Raw genomic sequence first — 18,133 nt, forward strand, 5'->3', positions numbered from 1 at the left:
GACAGGTATTCTCAGGCCTTGAAACCCAATAAAGTTTTCTCATTGAATTTCTTTTGGTTTTTTTTTTTTTTTTTTTTGAGATGGTGTCTTGCTCTGTTGCCCAGGATGGAGTGCAGTGGCTTGATCTCAGCTTACTGCAACCTCTGCCTCCCAGGTTCAAGTGATTCTCCTGCCTCAGCCTCCCGAGTAGCTGGGACTACAGGCACCCACCACGCCCTGCTACTTTGTTGTATTTTTAGTAGAGACGGGGTTTCACCGTGTTAGCCAGGATGGTCTCGATCTCCTGACCTCGTGATCCACCCAACTCGTTGAATTTTTTAATTACTTGGGTCTAGTGGCTCCTTTTTTTTATTCCATGGCTTCTCTTTTTGAACAGAAATGTCTAAAACTGCTATCCTATGCCAGTCCCACTATTGCATCTTGTATGCAGATCATTTGTTTTCTAGTTTCACAGGTCGATAGATGGAGATTAATTTTGCCCCAGGATGGATTACCACCAGACCCTCACCCATACCTGATTTAGATTATTTAGATAATCAAATTTAGAATGGTTGAGCTAATAAGATGTAGATGAGATTGTGGAGTTTGGGGTGATGCTGTAATGAGCTGAGAATTAAAGACATATGTCCTCGCAAAAATGGGTACAACATGGGTGAACTTTAGAAATGTTATGCTAAGTTAAAGAAGCCATACACAAAAAGCCACATAGTGTATAATTTCATTTTTGTGAAATTTCCAGAATATGCAAACACGTAGAGATAGAAAGTAGATTGGTGGTTGCCAGGGGCTAGGGGAAGGTGAATGACTGCTATGGCTATGGGGTTTCTTTTTGAGATTATGAAAATATTCTGGATTAGATAGAGATAATGGATGCGCAGCTCTGTGAAAATACTACAAACCATTGAATTGTATATTTAAAAGGGTACACTTTATGGTATATGATCTATTTCTTTTTTTTTTTTTTTTTTTTGAGGTGGAGTCTCACTCTGTTGCCCAGGCTCGAGTACAGTGGCGTGGTCTCAGCTGACTACAACCTCCGCCTCCCAGGTTCAAGCGATTCTCCTGCCTCAGCCTCCAAAGTAGCTGGGACTACAGGCGTGGGCCACCACACTCAGCTAATTTTTTGTATTTTTAGTAGAGACAGGGTTTCACCCTATTGGCCAGGCTGGTCTTGAACTCCTGACCTCGTGATCCGCCCTCCTCGGCCTCCCAAAGTGCTGGGATTACAGGCATAAGCCACCGCACCTGGCCAACATATTTCAACAAAGCTGTTATTTTTTTAAAAGTTAATGCTTATCAAAATGTTCTTTGGTGATCATAAAAACTTTTATTTCGAGAATAAAACTTTCATTATATCTTGCTAACAACTTCTAACCTTCATAAAGAAGGACTAAAAATATGAGATTTCATTTTGTTTCTTATCATGCTTAAAATCTAGTTTTTAGTTTGTGTATATTCAAAGCCATAAATATTGAGTTTTTCATTTTTATTCATTCATTCAAGAAACATTTGTTGAATGGCTATTATAAATTAGGCACGAGATCATGTACAAAAATGCAGTGATAATCTTTGTCCTTAAGGAGGTTCATAAAGGACTTTTCTAAATAAACAGAAAATAAATGTTAAGATGCCTTGAGATGGCCGGGCATGGTGGCTCACGTCTGTAATCTCAGCACTTGGGGAGGCGGAGGCGAGCAGATCACCTGAGGTCAGGAGATCAAGACCAGACTGACCAACATGGAGAAACCCTATCTCTACTAAAAATACAAAATTAGCTGGGCATGGTGGAGCATGCCTGTAATCCTAGCTATTCAGGAGGCTGAGGCAGAATTGCTTGAACCCAGAAGGCAGAGGTTGTGGTGAAGTGAGATCGCGCCATTGCACTCCAGCCTGGGCAACAAGAGCGAAACTTCGTCTCAAAAAAAAAAAAAGATGCCTTGAGATATATGTGCAAACTGCCACGATCACATCTTCCCGCTTACTTTCATGTGTTCATATGTGCTCTAACTTCTCTCAGGTTTCTTCAAATTACGTCTGTTCCCTAAGCCCAAGTTCATGTTTCATACACAGTTATTTCTGCAGCAAGTATTTCCCTCTCTCCTGCATCATCAATATTCCCTAGATGTTTCCTACTAGATTATTTCCATCACCATGCAAACCTGCAGATATTTCTCCTTTATTCTTTTAATTTCTTTTGACTTCAATTCTCTTTTTCAGCTGCTACTATTTTTCTTTCCTTCTATTTATAGTAAAACTTCTTGAAATAGTTGTTGGTACTGTGAAAGTTGTCAGAATCAAAATGGAGTCACTTGTGTAAAAAAAAAAAAAACCTGAAAAACAGCCAGGAAAGGTCATGAAGGGAGAGTTCTTATGCACAAATGCCTGATAACAAAACTACCATCAAAGACTGAAACACAACCTTGCACAAAGTCCATCACAATCTAACACATAAAAAATACTTCTTCGAGGACATATGCCCAGCAACTGCCTGTCCAACATTGGGCTGACACCATCCTTGCTATTGATCTTTGCAGCCAAAGATAATTATCTCAGAGGAATTATATAATCCTCCTCTTTTTTTCTTTTAAAAAGCTTTCTCTTTCTTTACCTCCCTGAATACACACATAGTTTACTGAAGTATGCATATGCCTTGCAATGCCCATTCCCAAATAGACATTATTTTCTTTTAGAAAGTCACCCTCTCTGTTTGCTATTTTTGATGATAGTACTCTGTTTCTTCCTATTTCTCCATTCTCATTTTCTCTTGAGTACATACCAGTTTTCACTCCTACTGATTCACTGAAACTATTTAACGTCACCAGTGATTCAAACACCGCATGCTCCAGGTTTTACCCCTGCTTTTGACTGTTTCTTCTAAATTTCTTTTGCAGATAAAAGATACATAACAAGTGTTGGTGAGGATGTGGAGTAAAGGGAACACTTGTACACTGTTAGTGGGAATGTAAATTAGTACAATCCTTATGCAACTCAGTAGGGAGTTTCCTCAAAAAAATTGAAAACAGCACTATCATAAAACCCAGCAATCCTACTGCTAGGTGTATATTCAAAAACTATAAAAATCAGCATATCAAAGAGATATCTGCACTCCTTCGTTCATTTCAGCATTGTTCACAATAGCCAATATATGAAATCAATCTAAGTGTCCATCAACAGATGAATGAATAAAGAAAATGTGGCATATATACAAAATGGAGTACTAGTCAGCCTTCAAAAAGAAGGAAATCCTATCATTGATGACAACATGGATAAACCTGCCAGACATTATGTTAGGTGAAATAAGCCAGGCACAGAAAGACAATTCCTGCATTATCTTACTTATATGTGGACTCCAAAAATTCAAACTCAAGGAAGCACAGAGTAGAATGATAGTTATCAGAGCCTGGGGGCTAGATGGATTAGGAAGATGTTAGTCAAACAATACAAAATTTCTGTAGAATGGGAGAAATAAACTCAGGAGATCTATTGTACAAATAATGACTATAATTCATAATAATGTATTATATACCTAAAAATTGCTAGGAGTAGATTTTAAATGTTCTCACCACAATAAATGAGAAACATGTGAGGTAATGGACATGTTAATTAGCTTGATTTAGCCTTTCCACAATGTATACATAAATTAAAACATCATGTAGTATACCACAAATACGTGCAATTTTTATTTGTCAATTAGAAAATAAATACAATTTAAAATTAAAAAAATAAATCTCTTTTGTCCCAGATATTTTTTTTTACTCAACTCTTCTATTCTAAGGAAACTCTAGAGATTTCAATCTCCCCAATCTTGGAATGTTGGAAAGCCCTAGAGCTCCGTTCTTGGTCTTATTCTATCTATATTCATTCTCTATTTTCTCTCATCTGGTCACATGATCTTAAATATATCCTTTTGCCCCAAATGTATATCTATAACCTGAACCTCTCCCCTGAACTCCAAACCTGTATATCCAGTTGCCTACTTGATATCAACAATCGATGCCTAATAAGCATCTCAAGGTCAATATGGCCAAAATGAGCTCTTGAGATTCTTCCAAAACAATTCCTTCACCTATAGTCTTCTGCATCTCATTGAAAGTAACTCTATCCTTCCAATCACTCTAGCCTAAAAACTCACCTCCCCCCTTTTTTTCCCAACTCCTACATCTGGTCCTACCATCTGCAAATCCTATCAGTAGTACCTTCAAAATAAAATTCATCAAAAGCTCAAGTACTTTTCGTTATCCCCACGGTCTCCATTTTGATGCAACAGTCGTCTCCCTTCTGGATTAGTTCAGTAACCTCCTAACTAGTCTCTCTCCTTTAGCCCCTGTCGAATCAGCCTTTTTTCAACCCAGACACATCATATTACTTTCATGCTGAAAACCTGCAAATTGATCCAGCTCGCTCAAAGTCTTTACCATTACTTAAAAGATCCTACATGGTATGGCTCTCCATTACCTCACATGTCTCCTCTCTGCCACTCATCTTCCCTCCAACCACACTGGCCCTCTGCACTTCCCTGAACCCCTCAGGCACGTTTCCACATCAGGACCTAGATGCTTGCTTGATCCTCTGCCTGGGATGTCCTTCTCTGAGACAGCTCCCTCACTTTATCCATATCTTTATTCAAAATGTACCTTCTTAGTGAGGCCTCCCCTGGCCACCTTATCTTAGTTCAATATTCCCCGGCAATTTACATCTTTTTACTCTTTGAGTTTTTGCGGTTATCACTAGAACTATATTTGACTCCTGTATTTTATTCATCTTCTTTCTCCCTCACTAGAGTGTAAGCTCGGTAGGGACAGAAATTTTGTCCATTTTGTTCACAGTGTACCCCCAATGCATGCATGAGAGAGTCAGGCTGTGTGCAAGTCACATAGTGCTCAGAAATGAGTTATTGAATGATTCATAAATGAAGAAATACAGATGTTTTTATGAAAACAATGAAGATGGAGAATGGAGTTATCTTAAGGAAGAAAATGATAATTCATTATTGGATACAACCATAATTTGTCTCTCATATTGTGAAGAATTCTACAACAATCCTGATTCTTACTGCTCTTTGAAGCTCCAACGCATGTTTCATCTTTTTCATGAATTCTTCCCTCACGGACTTAGTACTCAGGGATTCTCACCGTTGCCCACCTCCTAAACCCTTACAGTCAGCATTAACCACTTACCACTTAAAGGCCTTGTATGGTACCTTAGCTGTACATGTGTAAGTGTGTGGGTACCTTTGCAAATTCTTTTTCCAGCCCAACTGTCATCTTTTTGAGAATACGACCCTTATCTTATACTTCCATGTATCCCTTTCTTCCCTCCACTGAGAACTCCTGTAATTCTGTGTATGTCTTTTATCTGTGTTTCCTGGATATGAGGGGGACCAGAGCATCAAGATGTTTTTAAAAGTCAAGATTCACCAGGGCTCAGAGCGCTGGACATTCCTAGAAGTCTACCAGGAGAAACATCTCTGAATAACAGGGGAAGGTAAGAATGGCAACATTAGGATTGCAGTTTTTCTCTTTTTTCTTTTTTTCTTTTTTTCTTCCCCCAACCCCTGCCAATTATTATTCTTTTTTATTCTGGTAACATAACATAGATAAAATTTACCATCTTAACTATTTTTAAGTACGGTTCAGTGGTATTAAGTGCATTCCCACAGTTGTGAACCATTATCCCCGTCTCTTTCTTACATAAGCCTTTTTAGATGTCTGCTTCAGAAGCAAGTTAAAGATTTTCATATTCTTCCTTACATGGCACCACTACATCAGTGGCAACCCCTAAATTCCTGGGAGCCAAGCTGCCCTTCATTTTTTGTTTTTGTTGCTTGTTTGTTTGTTTGTTTGTCTGTTTTCTAAAGCTACCTCAGGAATTTAAGGCACCATAATTACTGAAAAGGGATCCTGGCACTGGACATGCTAACTAGATAGGAATAGGCAAATACAGAAAACCATCAAAAAGTGTCAAGTAACAGCAAGCTTGGCAAATAACATTTAAAACTGTTCCAAATAAAATTAAAGATAACTTCAAGTAATTTTACATTACCAAGAAAGCTTCATTGCAACAAAGTTTGTTTTCATTACCCAAAGGTTATTTTATAAATTTATTACAAGTATTTCACAACAAGTAGTTTATTACAAGTATTTCACAACAAGTAATTTTGTACAACAGATGTTTTCCCCTCATCCTTGTCCATTTAACAGTTGTCCTCTATGATGAGTTACCTCATTCTATGTTCCCAGTAATTGCAGGCCAGGCAAACCAAGTGAGGTTGCTGAGCCATTGTAACCAACCTCTTTACCTCTCCACTGGCCTCCAGCAAGTAGCATTTCCCCTTAATCTCCTATTCCTCTCCCTGTAAAACATTTCAATAGTTTTTTTTGTTTTGTTTTGTTTTTTGCTTTTTTGTTTTGTTTTGTTTTGTTTTTTTGAGACAGAGTCACTCTGTCGCCCAGGCTGGAGTGCAGTGGCACGATCTCGGCTCACTGCAACCTCCGCCTCCTGGCTTCAAGTGATTCTCCTGCCTCAGCCTCCTGAGTAGCTGGGATTACAGGCGTGTGCCACCATACCCAGCTAATTTTTATATTCTTAGTAGAGACAGGGTTTCACTATGTTGTCCAGGTGGGTCTCGAACTACTGACCTCAAGTGATCACCCGCCTCGGCCTCCCAAAGTGCTGGGATTACAGGCATGAGCCACCATGCCCAGCCCTCAATAGGTTTTTTAAAAACAAACTCATAAGTTATTTACTAAATACATAGACATAAGTCCAGAAGAAGGCACTGGGAAAAGGTATTGTCTGTGTAATACAAATTTGCAGTCCAGGGCAGTCCTCCTCAGGAAGCCATATTTGCAGCACTTCAAAGCAAAGACTTTGAGCCATGCAGGCTTCAGTTCCCATCCTGATCCCTCCATGCGTGAGCTGCACAACTCAGGAAAGACACCGTATCTCTGAACTTCACCTCCAGCCACTGGAAAATGGAGTGTAATAGCAGTAGTTACTTCTCATGATGTTTGTAAAGGTTAAATGCAATAGGTGCAACTATAGCTCTAAGTTCTGTGCCCATACACAGTAAAATGTTTGATAAGAATTTATGAAGTATACTAATAAATAATTATTTGTATTATTATTATGTAAGAGGAAGAAAAAGCAGCAGCAATATAAAAATCAATCATCACTCTTGAAGTGGGGAGAATAAATTTTAAACTCCACCCCTTCAATAACAAACTGTGAGTAGGAAAAAAAAACTGCTTAAGAATTTGATCACAGTCTGGGCAACATAGCAAGACTCTGCCTCTACAAAAAATTTAAAAATTAGCCAGGTGTGGTGGTGCTACAGGTAGGTGGTCTGTAGTCCTACCTACTCAAGCGGCTAAAGTGGGAGGATCCCGTGAGCCCAGGAGTTCAAAGTTGCAGTGAGTCACGATCATGCCACTGCACTCCAGCCTAGGTGACAGAGTGAGACTCTATATCCAAAGGGGAAAAAAAATGATCATCAAGAATTTGATTTTCTTTCTCCAAAAATCAAAGCTTTTACCAGTTCTTCATATCACATTTCCACCACGCCCAGCTAATTTTTTTATTTTTATTTTATTTTAGTAGAGACGGTGTTTCACCATATTGGGCAGGCTGGTCTTGAACTCCTGGCCTCAGGAATTCAAGAACTCGGCATCCCAAAGTGCTGGGATTACAGGCATGAGCCACCACACCCGGCCTAATTTTTGTATTTTTAGTAGAGATGAGGTTTCACCATGTTGGCCAGGCTGGTCTCAAACTCCTGACCTCAAGTGATCTGCCTGCCTTGGACTTCCAAAGTGCTGGGATTACAGGCATGAGCCACCACACCCAGCCCCTACAACCTTCCTAACAGTCTGTTGTATGCATTGCCTTGTCGGTGGTGCATGAGGCAACGAGGAAGCAGGCACTGGGGCTGATCTGGGGTCATGTGGGCAGGAAAAAGCCAGGAGCCAAAGGACAGGAGATTGGTGAGGAGAAAATGAAATAAAAGAGCTAATACGAATTATGAGTTAAAAAGGCAGGAGAGAATAGAAGCTCTAACAAGAATCCTAGAAAGTACTGGGGAGGGCACTTGACAGACAACATGTGACGAGATGAAAGCTTCAGTTACGCTGTTTGGAACAGATGTTAAAGAAAAATAGGAAGGCTGGAGGACTCGGGGATACTATGATTACAATTGTTAATTCACATATCTCCTGCTAACTTAAAATTTTATGCAACTGTTCACTTATATTTGGTCAGATCTAATTACAAAATGTTAGCTAAGAATCATCAGTTAGGAAGTTAAAATTTACAAGGATATTTTACTTAAAACCTGTGGACAAGGTGATTATTTGATCAAAACTCTTACATTTAAATAAGTGCAAAAGTACAAATCAGTAACTATTTTAAAATATCATATAATATATTAAAAGCATGCCAGGCGTGGTGGCTCACACCTATAATCCCAGCACTTTGGGAGGCTGAAGCTGGAGGATCGCTTTAGCCCAGGAGTTTGGGGCAAGTCTCTACAAAATTCAAAAATTAGCCAGGTGTGGTGGTATTCACCTGTAGTCCCAGCTACTCAAGAGGCTGAGGCAGAAGGATCACTTGAGCCCAGGAATTCGAGGCAGTGAGCTGTGATCACGCCACCACACTCCAGCCTGGGCAATAGCAAGACCCTGCCTCAAAAAAATAAAATAAAAACTAATATGTGTATATATGTGTGTGTATATACATGTATTTATGTGTGTGTGTGGGTGTGTATATATATATATGTATATATATGTGTGTATATATATATATATACACACATATATATACATATATAAAGAGAGAGAGAGAAAAAGCAAAATTGATGAAAATTGATGTAGGAATCAGCCTAAGTCAATGCAAATTTCACTTTTGCTGCTTTGTGTGAGTTGGAAAACTCATTTAAGCTGGGGAACTTCCATGAGTCTTATCTGTCAGTGAGGACAAGGAAGCCCTGGTCTGTCAGGCTGGACATACACAACCCTCATACCTGACCCCACCATTCATTCATTAGTGGGCTCCCTCCATTATTGAAGCTGCCATCTCTCCAGCCCTCTTGGATTTTTTTGGACTCTCCAAAATCCTCTGTGGATTTTTTTTGACTTGAACATCCCTTAAGAGTCTGGGCCTGGCTCATTCATTCAGTTTCTGCAGCTCCTTCACTCCACCCCTCCCCACTGCCTTGGACATGGACTTCCTGCTGCAGACACCATTCCTGCCACGGCACCTGCTCGTGCCCAAGAAGCCCAGCCTCAGGAAGTAGACAAGATTTTGACAATAACACCCACCACTAGGTTCCCATGATAATCAAATGAAATCATGTCTACAGAAGTTTTGTATAAAAATAAGGCTTTAGAACATGATTTTGTATTAGTCGTCACAAAAAGATGCCTAAATACCCCATGTTTTATATTAAGTCCTTCCAGCTTGGATTTAAATATATATATGCTAATCTACATAGTGTGCTTTCAGTTGCTATTTCTCTTGTGATGACATTCTCAACAGAATCCTCCTTAACTAAGATTTTAGCACCTTAGTCCAGGACATAAGTTCTACTAGATGGTTCCAGGTGCCAAGTCATTTGGTAGCTGTAACTGAGCAACCCATCATCCCTGAGGTTTGTGTAAAGTTGATGTACTGGGGTATTCTAAGTAAGAAACAGAATTTTGCCAATCATTGAAAGTTAAAATAGCTGAGCATGGTGGCTCATGCCTGTAATCCCAGCATTTTGGGAGGCTGAAGGAGGCGGATCACTTGAGCCCAAGAGTTTAAGACCAGTCTGGGAAACATGTCAAAACCCTGTCTCTATAAAAAACACAAAAATTAGCAGAGCATGGTGGCACATGCCTATGGTCCCAGCTACTCAGGAGGCTGCATTAGGAGGATTATTTGAGCCCCGGGAGGCGGAGGTAAAGTAAACTGAGATCTCACCACTGCACTCCAGCCTGGGTGATAGAGTCAGACTCTGTCTCAAAAAAAAAAAAAAGGTTAAAATTATTTTAAAATTGTCAAGACATTTAGTATTAAATTCATTACTGGATAAAGAAATAGTCAACATAGCATTTGTAGAGGGCAATTGCGAGCACTTTCCGGGAAACTAAGTCTATTCTCACAGACTCTGGTTAGCCGGTTTCATTAAGGCTGTCTTTCCTACCCAAACACTGTCCCGTCCGTCAGTTACAGTCACTGGCTGACTCAGCCGCAAAAGCTCCCTGTCATTTCTGGACAGGATTCCGACAGCTTCCAGAGCATCAATTCTGTCACTAACACTTATTTCTCTCCAACCTACATAAGATTGTATTAACTTAACCAGGCTAGAGACCTTCTTGTTCTGTTAAGATCAACCTTTAGGCCAGACTGTCCTCGCTCTGAGTTTTTCTGCAGGGTCCACTTCAAGGTCTCTCCTTCCTGCTCCCTCTCAGCTGCCTCAGTCAGTGACTCAGTTCATGGTAGTCACGCTCGAGAACACACAAAAAAATGTTTCCCTCGGTTAACACTCCATTAGCTTTGGAGGTGAATTACTTTAGAGGTGGGCTTCTGCTAAATTATAACTGGCACATTCAGGTCAATTTCCCCTCCTCTATCTATTCTGACATATTTCTCTCTGGGGCAGTAAGAACTGCCACTTCTCTCCCAGAACCACCCGCTTTGCTTCTGCACAGGTGGTGCCCAGGTGCCGGAGCTGCCCAGGTGGGGGAGCATTCCAAACTATCTCCCTTGAAGAACACTCATACTTCCAAGTGTCCCTCATGTATGTCATGAAAACTCACACAACACTGAAGATGCATCATGGTTATTTTCCACACAGAGGATACCCCAGGACCTTTTGCTGATTTCTGTAGAAATAACACAATATGCGTTAATGTTTGCTAATAATAATTAAGCTCAGTGAACGAGTCCATGTAGGATATCATGTAAAATTGACTGGACTTGGAAACTAACTGGAAATGGAGATGAGAGAGGTTTTACAAAAGGTTGAGTAGAGTGAGGAGGCGGGTGGTGAAGCCTTTACATGAAAATGGAATTTCAGGAGTGGGAGCAGGGTGGGAGAGGGATTGAAAGGTGGAGGAGCAGGGGAATAGCAGGGAATAAAATTGATTTTAGATATGTTGTGTTTGAGATACCTACAAAATGAGAATTGAGAACTGAAATGTAAAAGAAAGGTAGAGGCTGGAGAAACTGATTTGAGAATGATCATCATAAGAGATTATTCCTGAAGCCAGGGAAGTAGTTGAGAATTGCAGAAAAAAGAAGACAGAGGAAGAAAAGAGAAAGCTAATCTGTAAGACATGTTGCCATGCTTCTTTTGTCTGTCCCCTTTTGGGCACAAGTCTATTTATGGAAGAATGAGTAAGTGTTGTGACTAGAGAGAGCTTAGGATGGATGGAGAGACAGAGCACAGTACAAGAACAAGACTGAGGAGGACACATTTCAGTTAAGAAAGTCCTTATTTTCTCAGCTTTATCATTAGAAGTTAAGCCATTCTCTTAACACCAACCAGGAATTCAGTAGTAAATTAATTCCCAGAATATGAATCAGTCAGCACAGCAATTGTGGAGAGAAATTGCAAGCACTTTATGCTAAGTCTACTCTCATACCCAGTAAAATACACAAGTCCTGCTAAAACTGTCTGCATCACCCATGCCCCCACAAACTTATTTATTCACACTGGACAAGGAAGCTTAGTAATCTACTAGACAGATCCAGAAAACAAAACTCTACTCTATCTGTGGTTAGACAATAAAAACCCAATTTATTTTTTTTCTACAAGATCTCAGAAAAGTCCACCTAAAATTTTGCATGCGAGCATTGATTTGTTCAATCACAATCATTATTTTCCCCATGATAACAAAATCTAGATTGGAAATGTTAACTTTCACTTTAAAGTTATTCAACTGTACTCGATACTAGCGCCAAGGAACGTGGTTTCTACCTGCTATTATATCAATCATACTGTAAATTTATAGAATTATAACAGTCTTGTGTCTAGGTTAAGTCTGTACTAGTATTGCCCAATAAAAAACACAGATTACTGGTTCAGTAATCTGTGTTTCATCTCACTGGACACTCAAGGTTCTCCCACATGGGACTTTTTACCAAGCCCTACAACAATTCGGTAGAGTCTCACTGAAAGTTGCTATTCTGTGCATCTCCTTTTGTTAACATGACTATAAAAGAAAAGAAGAGAATGACACACAGGCATCAGGCCAGGCGCGGTGGCTCACGCCTTTTATCCCAGCTCTTTGGGAGGCTGAGGCAGGTGGATCACCTAAGGTCAGGAGTTGAAAACCAGCCTGGCCAACATAGTGAAACCCCATCTCTACTAAAAATACAAAAATTAGCCAGACGTGGTGGTAGGCTCCTGTAATTTCAGCTACTTGGGAGACTGAGGTGGGAGGATCACTTGAGCCTGGGAGGTTGAGGTTGAAGTGAACCGACATTGTGCCACTGCATTCCAGCCTGGGTGACAAAGTGAGACCCTGTTTCAAAAAAAAAGAAAAGAAAAGAAATACAGGCATCAGATACATCTATTGTTTTTCTTGCCCTCCTCTCTGCTTCATCTTCTCTCTCCTTGAATCTGACCCATTCACACTCCCAGATTTTCTTATTGGGCTGGTTTGTTATTAATAGTTTCAGGCTCAGCTGTTTAGCATAGAGACTCCTAAACACAACTCTTTTTTTTTTTCTCTCTCTCTCTCTCACCCAACCTGATGATGGACAGTCCTGAGAGTCAGCAGCTCTGCTCCCTGAGATCATGCAGGGACCCACATTCTTTCTACCTTCTTGTCCCCACTGTATCCAAAAGTTGCTGTTTACACACCCATTTTCAAAGCTAGCTAACCACCACCATGGCCTGCAAAAGGAGGAAGGAGAAAGTGGAGGTAGCACATTTCACTTCTGCTCACCCCCCACTGGCCAGAGGTTGGGAAATATAGTCCCTAGCCGGACAGCCTGTGCTCACTGAAATTAAGAGGTATATAGGGGTTTTTTAACTGAAGAAGGAGGGAACGGACTTTGCAGGACAATGAGCAGTCTCTACAACAGCTAGTTCAGATTTAGGCTTAGAAATGCCAGGCTCAGCTGGGCACGGTGGCTCACACCTATAATCCCAGCACTTTAGGAGGCCAAGGCAGGTGGATCGCTTGAGCCCAGGAATTCGACACCAGCCTGGGCAACATGGCGAAACCCCATCTCTACAAAAAATACAAAACTTATCTGGGCACGGTGATGCACACCTGTAGCCCCAAGTGAGAATCTCACCTCAGCCCCCTGACCCCCGAGAACAGGGGCCCGAATACAGAGGACGGGGGTCCAAGTACAGGGGTCAGCAGGCCAAATACAGAGGTCAAGGGGCCGAGTACAGGGTTCAGGGGGCCAAGTACAGCGGTCAGGGGGCTGAGGTGCAAGGATCACTTGAGCCCAGGAGGCAGAGGTAAGCTAAGACTGCACCACTGCACTCCAGCCTGGGTGACAGAGTGAGAACCTGTCTCAAAAAAAAAAAAAAGAAAATGCCAGGCTCACCCCGTCAGATCACAAAGACATAGACATTTTTCATATTAGATCTTTGAGAAGGCTCAGCTATGGGTGCAGTATTAATCATGTCTCCAGGAAAGATATTATGTCTCAGGTATTGTGCCAAATACTTTATATACATGAACTCATATAACCCTCACAGCAAACATGGGATGTGGATACCCTCACAGCAAACATGGGATGTGGATACCACCATTCTCATTTTAGACATAAGAAAAGATGTATTTAGAGTAGTAAGGCAATTTTTCCAAGCTCAGACAGCTAAGTGGCAGCAACACGGGACAGGGTAGAGGGAGGTGGTAGATTTGAAATAAACTAGACAATTGGGCAAAGCTTAAAGCTAATGGGAATGGGATTGAAAGTCAGGCCTCCATGAGGTACTAGAGTGTGGACCAGGAACCAAGGACAATGGCAGAAGGCCATTCAGCTTGGATGACCCATGATGCCAGGATTAAATAAATAAGCCCTGGCCTGATTCTCACTAAGACACTGAGCAAGGGATGTGCTTACCCAGGGGCCCACCAAACCCTGAATCTAGTAGTAACTCACCTCTTCTGCCCCAGCTCACTGGGTGGGGAAACTCCTGCATGGTGCTATAATCAATTTCCACGTTTCAGGACCAGGAAGGGACTCTGCCCCTATTCAGTCATTCAGCACATGTACTGGGTGCCATCCTTTGATCAGACCTTGGGAATATAGAGGTAAACAAGAACAAAATCATGCCTTCTCTCACAGAATGCATGGAAGAGAAAGTAGACACTAGATATTGTGCTCACAATAATGGGTAGCAAATGTTGTGGTAGGGAAAGTGCCGGGCGATGGCCTTCCTGATGTGAAGAGAGAGGTGCCCTCCAACAGGAGGGAGGAGCCCATTCACAACCAGGAGAGAGGGATCCTTTCACAACCAGCAGGGAGAAGCCCATTCATAGCCAGAGGGGTCCATTCACAACCAGGAGGGAGGGGCACTTCATCAGGAGGGAGGGGCCCATTTATAACAAGGAGGGAAAGGCCCATTCACAACCAGGAGGGAAAGTCCATTCTTTCCAGAGAACTAAAGGATAATGGTTTAAGCAAGTGGCCAGGAAGACTGTGAAGACTGACAACAAGGATGAGCTGAGACAATAACCAGAGAAGTATTCTGTGTAGACCACAGAACACAAGTACTGCTGCTTTAAGCCACTGTTCTATGGTTGCAAAAAGAAGATGGCATAAGAGTTTTTAAAAGGACCCAATAATCAAATTATTGTACCACTGACTTTCTTCTTGAAACCTCATTTCCAAGATCCTGACTCTGATTTATTTTAATTTGATCTTTTATCAAGGACTATCTTTTTCTGGTGACCCTTACCTCCCTGGTATTGATGCTTTCATTTAATCCCTTCAGCTTCACTGATCTGATTCCTTTCCCCTACCACTTTTTCCTGGGGCAACCAGTGCTTATGACAGACAACATCCTCTAAGCAAACAGTTGCTACAAAATGTTAGTGGCAATCACTACTGCTAATGAAAGTAAACTACAAGAATATTTGTATCATCAATATAACTGTCAGAGGCGTTCGAACAAGAGCAACTCCATCTTGAATATGGGCTGGGTAAATTAAGGCTGAGACCTACTGGGCTACATTCCCAGAGGGTTAAACATCCTAAGTCACAGGATAAGGTAGGAGGTCGGCACAAGATACAGGTCATGAAGACCTTCTGATAAAACAGGTTGCAGTAAAGAAGCTGGCCAAAACCCACCAAAACCAAGATGGCAATGAGAGTGACCTCTGCTCTCCTCACTGCTGCATACTCCCACTAGCGCCATGACAGTTTACAAATGCCATGGCAACAACAAGAAGTCACCCTATATGACCTAAAAAGGGAGGCATAAGTAATCCACCCCTTGTTTAACATATAATAAAGAAATAACCATAAAAATGGGCAACCTGGGCCAGGCACGGTGGCTCATACCTGTAATCTCAGCAGGTTGGGAGGCTGAGGCAGGCAGATCACCTGAGGTCAGGAGTTTCAGACCAGCCTGGCCAACACAGTGAAACCCCATCTCTACTAAAAATACAAAAATTAGCCAGGCGTGGTGGTGGGCGCCTGTAATCCCAGCTACTCAGGAGGGTGAGGCAGGAGAATCACTTGAACCTGGGAGGCGAAGGTTGCAGTGAGCCAAGATCGCACCACTGAACTCCAGCCCAGGCGACAGTGTGAGACTCCATTTCAAAAAAAAAAAAAAAAGGGCAACCTGCAGCACCCAAGCTGCTCTGCCTATGAAGTACCCATTCTTTTATTCCTTTACTTTCTTAATAAACTTACTTTCACTTTATGGACTTGCCTCAAATTCTTTCTTGCATGAGATCCAAGAACCCTCTCCTGGGGTCTGGACTAGCACCTTTTCCCAGTAACACAACTATAGCACTCCTTGAACACTTTCAATTTAAAGTATAATTCCCACGTTCTTAAGATCAGAAACATACACTATTGTAAAGGAGAATTAAGTGACATAATGAACAGTGTTGGTGTCATTACCCACACGAGCTAAGAATTCAGGCTGTTAGGTGAAGAACGGGGAAGAGAGCCAGGTGCAGTGGCTCACTCCTGTAATCCCAGCACTTTGGGAGGCCAAGGCGGGAGGATCATTTAAGGTCAGGAGTTTAAGACCAGCCTGGTCAACATGGTGAAACCCCATCTCTACTAAAAATACAAAAAATTAGCCTAGCGTGGTGGCGGACGCCTGTAATCCCAGCTACTCAGGAGGCTGAGGCAGGAAAATCGCTTGTACCCAGGAGGCAGAGGTTGCAGTGAGCTGAGATCGCGCCACTGCACTCCAGCCTGGGCGACAGAGCGAGCTCCAACTCCAAAAAAAAAAAAAAAAAAAAGAACGGGGAAGGCTACATAGTGTGTGTCCTGGAGTGCGGACCCTCATTATTGACTAGGTCCAGAATTAACTCAGTTCAAAGAGCAATGACAGAACAAAAAACCCCTTGGCAAAAAGTAAAAAACAGCAAAAAATTTAAGAAGCAGTGTTTGCAACTTCGGAGGGTGCTAACATTTGAATATTTGTCACCTCCAAAAACTCATGTTAAAATTTAATCTCCAATTGGCAGTATTATCAGGTTGGGCCTTTAAGAGGTAACTGAGCCATGAGGGGTCTGCTGTCATGAATGGACTTGTCCATTCATGGATTAATGGGCATCATGGGAGTAGGACTGGTGGCTTTATAGGAAGAAGAAGAGAGACGAGAACCAGCACTCTCAGCCCCTCACCGTGCGATGCTCTGCACCACCTTGAGACTCTGCACAGAATCCCCACCAGCAGAAAGCCCTCACCAGATGTAGCCCCTTGACCTTGGATTTCTCAGCCTCCGTAATACAAGAAATAAATTTCTTTAATTTGTAATTTACCCAGTCTCGGGTATTCTGTTATAAGCAACAGAAAATGGGCTAAAACAGAGAAGTAAGTTCTCCATTTTGGGGTACTTTATACCTCGGACTGTGTTGCTGTATACACCACAAATACTTCATCCCACAAGTACTTATTGAACACCTACTACATACCACACCATCTGATGGGTACTGAAAATGACACAGTAACAAATGCAGTTCTTGCCGTGTGGACAGGTAGACATTCAAATAAATCTATCATCATAAACTGTGATAAAGGCTATGGAGGAAAGTTAAAGAGTTTGATGAACAGTTTGAAATGACAGTAATTTAGATTAAGAAGCCAGGGAAAGCATCTATGGAGAAAACATTGAAGCCCAAAATAAATAGGAACAGGTCAACAAAGTGACAGGAAGTGAGAATGGCGAAGAGCGTTGAACACAGATGAACACAGAATTAGACGACCTGGGCTCCCGCAGAGGGAAGCAAGGCTCCTGTGTTCTGCAGCACCTTCGCTCCCTGGGCTGCAGCAACCCAAGAGGGCTATAAAAGATCCTTTTCTAGGCCGGGGGCAGTGGCTCACACCTGTAATCCCAGCACTTTGGGAGGCCGAGGCTGGTGGATTACCTGAGGTCAGGAGTTCGAGACCAGCCTGGGCAACACAGGGAAACCCCGTCTCTACTAAAAATACAAAAAATAAAAATTAAAAATTAGTCAAGCCTAGTGGTGCATGCCTGTTGTCACAGGTACTTGGGAGGCTGAGGCAGGAGAATCGCTTGAACCCAAGAAAGGGAGGTTGCAGTGAGCCAAGATCACACCACTGCACTCCAGCCTGGACGACAGAGCAAGACTCTGTTTCAAAAAACAAAAAATTAGCCAGGCATGGTGGCATGAGCCTGTAGGCCCAGCTACTCAGGAGGCTGAGGCAGGAGAATCGCTTGTGCCCAGGAGACAGAGGTTGCAGTGAGCCGAGAGCATGCCACTGCACTCCAGCCTGGGCAACAGAGTGAGACTCCGTCTCAAAAAACAAAAAAAAGACCCGCTTCTCAACCCAGGTCACCAGACCTTCAGAGGTAAGTTGTTCTCTGCCTTTAGAGTCAAGATAGGAGGAAAGAAGTTACAAACAATTTGAATTCTGACTGTGAGGTTGTCATTAAGTCAATCCTTGAACTCTCAGGTAGAATTAATCATTAGATATT

The 18,133-nt window shown here is 41.9% G+C and overlaps 1 long non-coding RNA gene across 1 annotated transcript in view; it reads right to left on the reverse strand.

Annotated features, from left to right (window-relative positions):
- Window positions 1–6,389: 6,389 nt before the first annotated feature.
- The window catches only part of LINC01299 (long intergenic non-protein coding RNA 1299), a 35,659-nt gene continuing 23,915 nt past the window's right edge, over window positions 6,390–18,133 (reverse strand). The window contains exons 2-5 of the long non-coding RNA NR_033893.1: window positions 14,110–14,246; window positions 10,797–12,506; window positions 9,958–9,991; window positions 6,390–6,967 (exon numbers count right to left, since the gene is read on the reverse strand). This is a non-coding gene — a long non-coding RNA (long intergenic non-protein coding RNA 1299). The remainder of the gene's footprint in view (window positions 6,968–9,957; window positions 9,992–10,796; window positions 12,507–14,109; window positions 14,247–18,133) is intronic.

The sequence above is a fragment of the Homo sapiens genome, chromosome 8, assembly GCF_000001405.40.
Source record: "Homo sapiens chromosome 8, GRCh38.p14 Primary Assembly".
NCBI classification, from domain to species: Eukaryota; Metazoa; Chordata; class Mammalia; order Primates; family Hominidae; genus Homo; species Homo sapiens.